Source organism: Homo sapiens, chromosome 10 (genome assembly GCF_000001405.40).
Source record: "Homo sapiens chromosome 10, GRCh38.p14 Primary Assembly".
Classification (NCBI taxonomy): Eukaryota; Metazoa; Chordata; class Mammalia; order Primates; family Hominidae; genus Homo; species Homo sapiens.
In genome coordinates this window covers 117,931,426-117,941,120 of record NC_000010.11, presented here as the reverse complement: position 1 = coordinate 117,941,120, position 9,695 = coordinate 117,931,426, and the positions used below count along the sequence as shown (strand labels likewise).

Genomic DNA, 9,695 nt, shown 5'->3' with positions numbered 1-9,695 from the left:
GTTCTGGAGGCTGAGAGGTCCACAATCAGGGTGAGGGCAGTTCAGTTCCTGGTGAGGGTCCGCTTCCTTATTTGCAGGTGGCTGCCTTCTTGCTGTGCCCCCACATGGCAGAGAGAGACAGAGACAGAGCAAGAGAGAGAGAGAGAGACAGAGCAAGAGAGAGAGAGAGAGAGACAGAGAGAGAGAGGGAGAGAGAGAGCTCACTCTGGCCTTCTTCTCTTCTAAGAGCACTAACCCTGCCATGGGGGCCTTACTATCATGACCTCATGTAAACCTAGTCACTTCCCAAAGGCCCCATCTCCAAACACCATCACGTCTCATGTTAGGGATTCAACATGCACATTTTAGAGGGGCACAGACCTTCAGTGCATAGCAAGATTCTTAAAAACATCAATGGGCAAGAATGAAAAGCAAAACAAAATAGAACATTTATCTAAATCTATAAGCAGGTTAATTTTCCTCAGGGGTAGACATTAAATGTTGATTATGACTGGTATAGGAAACTCTGAGATATTTCTTTTCACGAATGGGTGTACCTTGAACTTATTGCTTGTCATGGGGAGGCGTGTATATCCTGGACAAGTTCACAGCTATCATGGCTGGAAGCGTGCAAGACTATGTGAAGGCTGTGTGGCTGCTCATTGCGGTGGAGGAGGCGCGAGAAGAGAACCTGGACCTGACCCAGGGAGGTTCCAGCTAGGTTGTCCTGTTGGCTTTTGTGTTTGTCAAAGTAAATAAGTAATGCAAGCCTGAATTTCAGTGGCTTCACTCAACATAAGTGAATTTCTCACTTCTATAACAATCCTGTCAATTAGCAAACTGTCGGTTTGGCAGTTGACATTCTACATAACGGCTCAGGGACCCAGGCTCCTTCCCTCTTGTGTCTCTGCCCTTTCCTAGGGCCTTGATGAACTTTATGCCTGGCCAGTGGATGAGGAAAGATGGTGAAGAAGACCCACCTGCTTCTCTTCTGTCCCAAAGTTATTTATTTTCACTCACATTCCACTGGTGAGACTCAATCATGTTGTCTTACCTAGATACAGGGGAGGTAGGGGCTGTCTCTGCACTAAAGGAGACACAGAAACCTTTGGGGTAGCTGGCAGTCTCTTCCACAGTGTTCAGCACACTTGGAATTACTTTTAGCAGCCACAGAAAACTAAGCCACCCGTCAGGCTGGTGGAGAGAGAAGGCTCCCAAGATGAGAAGGTGGGGTTTTTGTTTGTTTTTGAGACAGGGTCTCACTCTGTCACCTGGGCTGGAGAGCAATGGTGTAATCTTGGCTCACCACAGCCTCCATCTCCTGGGCTCAAATGATGGCATCTAGTAGGATGCTGCCCAGGCTGGCTTCGAACTCCTGAGCTCAAGCGACCCTCTTTCCTTGGCTTCCCAACATGCTGGGATTACAGGCATGAATCACCACGGCAGACACTAAGTATTTTTAAGAGTCGAGCATCTAGACCCTGGGAAATGTACTGATATTGAATGATTATGTCTGATTTAACTGTCCAGCTATGAGCTGCAGAGATCACTCTTTTGTGGGTAGTGTGTGTGTTTTTTCCATCAGGGAATGAATATTGACAAACTCAGTCACCCCAGAAGGAGCTACTCCTGGAAGAGGAAGGGAGAACTGGAGAGGTGAGACCAACAGCCAAGAGTCAGAAAAACTTCTTTCTCTCCCTGGACCTCCCTGGTTGGGACTGGACTCTAAGGTGCAGAAGTAATTTTGATTTCAACAGCATAAGAGAGTGGTTGGTCACTGCCAAGTGTAGACAGGTTGGGTGTTTTTTGTTTGTTTGTTTGTTTGTTTTTTGAGATGGAGTCTTGCTCTGTTGCCCAGGCTGGAGTGCAATGGTATGATCTCGGCTCACTGCAACCTCAGCCTCCCGGGTTGAAGCAATTCTCCTGCTTCAGCCTCCCAAGTAGCTGGGATTAGAGGTGCCCACCACCATGCCTGGCTAATTTTTGTGTTTTTAGTAGAAACAGGGTTTCAGCATGTTAGACAGGATGATCGCGAACTCCCAACCTCAGGTAATCTGCCCACCTCAGCCTCCCAAAGTGCTGGGATTATAGGCGTGAGCCACTGCGCCCTGTAGGGAGGGTGTTAAGCAAGCTAACCTCCTTTCAAGTGGCCAGGGGATTTGGTCTAGACTTGCAACTTTTGAGAGCACCTCTATGCAGAAGTAGTTGTAGTGGTGCTTTCTTCCATATTCTCCAAACGATTAGTAAAGCCCTCTTAAAAAGTGTGCAATGGTAGCTGTTCTGCTGTGAAAATTAAAGGAAGGGCTTGTGTTATGGGCTGCCTTGTGTCCCGCACCAATTCACATATTGAAGTCCTAACCCCCAGCACCTAGAATGTGCCTTTATTTGGAAATAGGTGCTTTAAGGAAGTAATTCAGTTAAAATGAGGTCATTAGGGTACACCCTAACCCAACATGCCTGGTGTCCTTGTAAAAAGTGGAGATTAGGACACAGACATGCAGAATGAAGACCAGAGGACTAAGCAGGAAGGCAGCTGCCTACAAGTCAGGGAAAGAGGCCTCGAGGGAAATCAACCCTGCTGACACCTTGAGGCCAGACTCCTGGCCCCCAGAATTGTGAGAAGACACACTTGAGTTGTTTAAACCACTTAATCTTCCGTCTAGCAGTCCTAGCAAATCAGTACAGCCTGGTTCACACTTGAGGCAGAAGAGTGAAGAGGAGGGCAGGCCACCCTCCCCAGTCCACAGTGCTGGTGTTAGGAGAAGTCACTGGCAGAGGCAGTGTATCAGTCTGTTTTCACGCTGCCAAGGCTGGGTAGTTTATAAAGGAAAGAGGTTTAATTGACTCACAGTTTCATATGTCTGGGGAGGCCTCACAATCATGGCAGAAAAGCAAGGGGTGTCTTACATGGTGGCAGGCAAGAGAGACAACAAGAATCAAGCAAAAGGGGAAACCCCTTATCAAACCATCAGCTCTCGTGAGACTTATTCACTACCACGAGAACAGTATGGGGGAAACTGCACCTATGATTCAATTATTTCCCACTGGGTCTCTCCTACAATACGTGGGAATTATGGAAGCTACAACTCAAGATGAGATTTGGGTGGGGACACAGCCAAGCCATAACAGGCAGCCATTCCCAGGGTGCAGTAGCAGGAGTGGCGAGGTACTGGGCCAGGGGGCCGGGCAGGGGGACATGAGGGACCTGCTCTTGAGAACACATAGAACTCATGGGACTTACGGGGCGACCAAGTTTCCCCGTGGCCTGGTGGGCTGGAAGTCTTCATACATCATATTAGTGGATATACGACCTCTTCTGGAAGTTTCTGGTTGGTGAAGCCAAGCCTGGTGTAGGCTGCAAGAGAATGACTGTTCTCAGACTAAACCGTTCAAAGGAACTGATGGTATGATTTGAATCCCCAGCTCCCTCTCTTTCTGTGTGTTCTTTACTTAACCTCCATGAACTTGGCTTTCTCATCTGTAAAATGTTGATGGCCTGGTGCGGTGGCTCACGCCTGTAATCCCAGCACTTTGGGAGGACAAGGCGGGCGGATCACAAGGTGAAGAGATTAAGACTGTCCTGGCCAACATGGTGAAACTCCATCTCTACTAAAAAAAAATACAAAAATTAGCTGGGCGTGGTGGCATGTGCCTGTAGTCCCAGCTACTCGGGAGGCTAAGGTAGGAGAATTGCTTGAACCCGGGAGGTGGAGGTTGCAGTGAGCTGAGATTGCATCACTGCACTCCAGCCTGGTGACAGAGTGAGACTCTGTCATAAAAAAAAGTTTATAACAACAGTTTTTGCCTATAATATAATATATAATATAATATAATTGTCCTGCCATTCGACCTAATGACCATGACGTAAGGCTCTTAGTATTGTGCTTGGCACATACTATGTGCTTAATAAATGGCAGCTGCTGTGTTTATTATAGGAAAATATCACTTGTGAGAGGAACAGAGTCCCTGGAGCCTGGGTTCCTTCCTTATGAGCAGAATGGATTACTATGAAGAATGTTGGCCATTTGTGTGTTGGGGAGATTTCAGCCCACTCTGGTAACTTTCAGCATGGTGACCAGATTCCCTGTGGAATGAAAATGTCCTCAGAAAGGAGCAAGAAGACTGAACTACACAGAGATCTGTAGTTCTCTTCTGTTTCGAAAACTAATTCTATTGCTGCAGGGCCAGATTCAAGCACGTCATCCCACCAGAGTCATGTGCCAGTGCTCACCTGAATTCTCTTTCTCACAGCTTTGATCATTTCTAAAGGAGGCCCTCTATGTCTCAGCATAAGTGTGTTAGCCATTACCAGAAAGGAGGTTCACAAAGGCAGATCACAGAGGAAAGCTGCCCACGTGTTAAGCCTTTATACTGTGTTGGCTGTGTTTAGGATACACAGTGATGCATAGTTGCATAGGAACCAGAGCAGATTTTCTTTTTGGAAGGGGCAGTATTTAGTCCCTGTGCGATTAGAATATTACGCCTGTGAGCATGGAGATGAAATACTCTAATGTTTAATCCATATTAAATATGGATTATAAATTCAGTGGATATTTGATTTCTTGATGGAGTTCCCTGTCATTTCCCACCATTATCTTGACCCTAAAGGCCTTCAGTGCTGTTTCCTTTCACTTTTCAGACTGATAGAATTCAAGAAACTGAAGGAAACTTTGGAACAGAATGCTTGCCACGCACACTGCTGTGGTCTGTGCCTGATTACACACAGGCAGCTGCACCTCGCAAATGCTGCCGGGATCACATCATCCTGTTATGAAATCGGACTTTTAAAGAGCTGGAGTTAAGTGGCAACTTTAGTGGTTGTCAACACAGCCTCAGTCAAGGCCTGAGAGAGTGTAGTTTACTGGGCGAGGTTGCTCTGGGTAGCCTTAAAAGGGCCTGGAATCGGTGAGTGAAGGAAGGAGGACGAGGGCGGGGAAGGAACCAGGAAGCCAGGAAGCTGCAGCACGAAGTCCCCCATCTTGCTCTCTTAGTGCTGACCCCAGTGTTTCAGCTTCCAGTCTCCATTTGCTCCCTGAGCTCCTGCCATGCTCATCTCTGTCTGCTCAGGACTCTCTCTTTCATTTTCTCGAGCTGTGTTCCTAAACCTTGGGGCAGAAGGGATAGGGAGTCAATCAAATCAGGCCAGGATTAGAAAATCAGCTACTGAGTTGGAGGGCCACAAGGAGCCACACAGTAATCACATTACAAATGTCCTATCTCATCAACTCTGAGAGTGGGCATGATTTTTATCTTCATTCTGTAGATAAGTAAAGTCAGGCTGATAGAGGCTACATGGATTACCCAAGGTCAGACAGTCCACAGATGGCGAAAATTCAAATGCAAAACGTTTGGGGGCCCACGCTTGTTTTGTTTCCTATACCACATGATCCTCCATTCAAAAAGGAAAAATATGGGAATTCTTGGAGGTGGTGTTTCAGGGAATTTTGAATGTGCTGTGTGTGTGCGTACGCACCTGTGCATGCCTGTGTGTGTAAGGGACAGAGGGAGGAAGGAGGAGATCCCGCTGGAAAGACAAAGAAGGATGAAACTGAGGAGGACCTTCAGTGTCGAAGGGAAGAGTTTGCATTTCATTCTGAGTGAAGTGACTGCACAGGAGAGAAGTCTCGAAGGCTTGTGAGGAGAGGAGGGGCCCACAGTAGGGTGAGCCCATGGTTTCACTTATCAGGGATAGACTTGGGTGGGGACAAGAGGCAGTGAGACCGCCTGGTGTATATCCACAGAGCTCCTGAGACACTGCTGCTTATGGAACCACTCATTCCATCAGCCAATACGAGGCTCTCCATGTGTGAGTTTCCAACTTCCATCTGGATTGTTAATTATTGGATGGCAAAAACTGCCTCGCACATTTTTGATTTCCCACAAAACCTAGAATACTGCTGAGCACACAGCCAGAGCAAACTTAACACATGTGTTAATTGTTCTTCCCTTTCGAATGAATCCTGAGCTATTGTCATACATCTATGTGTTACATATGAATCCCAAGAGAAAGGATGCGATAAATCTTTTCATAGGGAAAATTTCCTCCCCCACCATTGTAGACCTTTTAGCAAATGTGTTCTAAGTTACTTTGGAAATTTCCCAGTCTTCAAAATAAGAAATGACAGAGAAGTTTTACTGAAAAGTCTTGCTTTGTTTTTTCTTGCCTTTTTTTAATTTAATACTATATGAAGATCTTCAATAAATGTCATAAAAACCCAGTGAGATCTTGACTCCTTACCCCAACTCTGCTGGATTCACTGGAATTTTCTGTCAAACACACTGCTGAATTCATGCATAAATGACAAACTCTAGAATCTGATTACTACCTCTGATGGGCTTCTTCTTACTGATCACAAAACAAAAAGGCAAAATAGCATTTCCCTGGCTCTGCCCTCCCTTTCAATTGGAGGGATTTACAGTGGCCAAGAGCCTCACCTCATGCTGTGAGCTGATTTAAGCAAGTCAGCTATGAGAGCTGATTGGCACTTGATGAACCAGCAGGCTAAACACTTGAGGTGAGTTTTTTTGTTTGTTTGTTTGTTTTTTCTGAGATGGAGTCTTGCTTTATCGCCCGAGCTGTAGTACAATGTTGTGATCTCAGCTCACTGCAACCTCTGCCTCCCAGGCTCAAGCGAGATCCTCCCACCTCAGCTTCCCAAGTAGCTGGGACTACAGGTGCACCACCACACCCAGCTAATTTTTGTATTTTTAGTAGAGATGTAGTTTCACCATGTTGGCCAGGCTGGTCTTTAACTCCTGACCTCAGGTGATCCTCCTGCATCAGCCTCCTAAAATGCTGGGATCACAGGTGTGAGCCACCGTGCCCAGCCAGGGGTGACTTTTAAACAATGGGACTCAGCTTCCTGGGAACTTTGTTATCTCAAGGATTTATTGTATTTATGCTTTTATTATTATTTTTAATTGACATAGTAATTGTATATGTTTATGGGGTACAGTGTGGTATTTTGATACATATGTATACAGCATTAGTGATCAAATCAGGGTCATTAGCAAATCCATCACTTCAAACATTTATCATTTATTTGTGTTGGGAACATTCAAGATATGCTCTACTAGCTACTTGAAAATATACAATAAATTGTTGTTAACTATAATCACCATATCCTGCTATAGAATGCTAGAACTTACTCCTCCTGCCTAGCTGTACTTGGTATTTGCTAACCGACCCTCGGCTATCCCTCCTCCCTCAACCCTTCCCTGTCTCTAGAAACCATTATTCTACTCTCTACTTCTAACAGTTCAAACTTTTTGGCTTCCACATATGAGTGGGAACATGCAATATTGGTCTTTCTGTGCCTGGCGTATTTCACTTAACGTAATGTTCTCCAGGTTTATGTATGTTGCCTCAAATGACAGAATTTTCTTCTTTTTTATGACTAAATAGAATTCCATGTGTATATATACCACATTTTCTTTATTCATTCATCTGTTGATGAATATTTAGGTTGATTTTATATCTTGGCTATTGTCAAACACGTATTTATTACGTATAGTCATGTGTCCCTTAATGATGAGTATACATTTTAATAAATGCATCATTAGGAGATTTTGTTGTTGTGCAAACATTAAAGAGTGTCCTTACACAAACCTAGGTGGATTAACGTACCACACACCTAGGTTATATGGTCTAGCTTATTGCTCCTAGGCTACAAGCCTGTATAGCATGGTACTGCACTAAATACTATAGGCAATTGGAACACAAGCGTGACAGGGTGTATCTTTATAAACATAGAAAAGGTATAGTACAAATACCTATACAAGATAAGAAATGGTACACCTGTATAGGGTACTTACCACGAATGAAGCTTGTAGGACTGGTAAGTTGCTTTGGGTGAGTCAGGGAGTGAGTGGTGAGTGAATGTGAAGGCCTAGGACATGACTGTACACTACCATAGCCTTTATAAACATGTGAACTTAGGTTACACTAAATTTGTTTATTTTTAAATGATTGTGCTATGACATTTTAACGGCTATGATGTTGAAATTTTCAACTTCATTATAGTCTTATGGGTCCACTGTTGTATATCAGTCCCTAACAACCAAAACCTAATTCTGCAGTGCATAACTGTAATTCAACTTACTTATAGCCCAAATCATCCTGTCAAGGATTTGAGAGCTTATGGCAAAAACACACAGAATGAAGTGGTAACCTCAAAATCAAATTAGAAAATCAGATGCAGGGAAAATGGAAATTAAAACAGGAAGTCAAACTCAGGGAGAAAAATTGAATGCAAATATCTGGGCCTCACAAGAGATTTCAAAATGGCAGCACATGAGCAAACTCAACTGAAGTGGCGTTTTGTTTGGCCCACATAGTGTTTTTTAAAAGTTTTTTATCCTGTTTTACAAACCAGTGAAAGGAGAGACTGTTATAGGACAAAAGCAAATGAAGAACTGTAACTAATGAATGCAATGTGTAGGCCTTGTTTAGTCCAACTGCAAAACTAACATTGGTTTTGGATTTGCAAGATTTGAATATGGATTAAATATTAGAGGATACTAAGGAATTATCATTAATTCTCATAGGTATGATAATGGTACATGTGCCAGTAAAACCACAAAACATCTGAGATGTATTTTTAAATATATAAAATAAAATATATTTTAAAATATATAAAATAAAAAAAGTGGGGTAGGTAAATAAAGAGTACTAAAATGTTGACAATTTCTGAATCCAAATGACAAGTTTATGAAAACTCTCTATTTTTATATGTTTGAAAATTTCCATAATGAATACTTTTTTTTTTTTTCTTTTGAGACAGAGTCTCCCTCTGTAGCCCAGGCTGGAGTGCAGTGGTGAGATCTTGGCTCACTGCAAGCTCCGCCTTCCGGGTTCATGCCATTCTCTTGCCTCAGCCTCCTGAGTAGCTGGGACTACAGGCGCCTGCCACCATGCCCAGCTAATTTTTTTGTATTTTTAGTAGAGACGGGGTTTCACCGTGTTCACCAGGATGGTCTCGATCTCCTGACCTCGTGATCGGCCCACCTCGGCCTCCCAAGGTGCTGGGATTACAGGCGTGAATGAATACATGTTTTTAAAATGTAGGTATAAATGTCTTGAGATAGGTTATATGCTTCCTAGTGTCATAGAGTCTCCAGGCCTCCAACATCCCCCCTGCCCAGACTCAGTCTCTTAATTTAATTACTGGCCTGGGCTACATTATTATATAATTAAGATTCTTAGAGTCAGATAGAAAAGGGAGACATGGTCAGTTGTTGAAGAGCAATAAACATAGTTTTCTTAACTGGGAAGGACTTAACTAGCACCTAACAGTAAAATAAATGTCTTCCAAGGCACTTCACAAGGGACCAGAGTAATGTAGCTGGTGTCCTTTGCAATAGCACTTCTCAACCTACTTTGGTGAAGGATTCTCATCTTTGAGGACTGGTGAACATGCAGTTTGAGGAATGACATCCATCTATGGGCCACACTCAGAGTAACACTCCTCCACTTCAGCACCCCTCAGCAAGAATCATTAGAAACTGACCGAAATCCCTTTCTCAGGAAAGCCTTTCTGGGAGGACCCAAAGCAAGAAGGCCTGGGGATGCAGCTTTTGATGGTCTTGCTGAATCTAAAGACAAAACATGAACTATTTGAAACTTGAGGAGAATGGGTGGAAGACATTTCTTCAAATAGCCCTCCATAAACATTACTCGTTGCTGTGGGTTAAATTGTAGTCCACCTCAAAATATG

The 9,695-nt window shown here is 43.9% G+C and overlaps 1 long non-coding RNA gene across 1 annotated transcript; it reads left to right on the top strand.

Annotated features, from left to right (window-relative positions):
• Positions 1 to 854: 854 nt before the first annotated feature.
• On the top strand, positions 855 to 6,291 carry LOC105378504 (uncharacterized). Its single transcript, XR_946348.3, has 3 exons — positions 855 to 1,008; positions 1,565 to 1,635; positions 4,619 to 6,291. It is a non-coding gene; the product is annotated as an uncharacterized LOC105378504 (long non-coding RNA).
• The last annotated feature ends 3,404 nt before the right edge of the window (positions 6,292 to 9,695 follow it).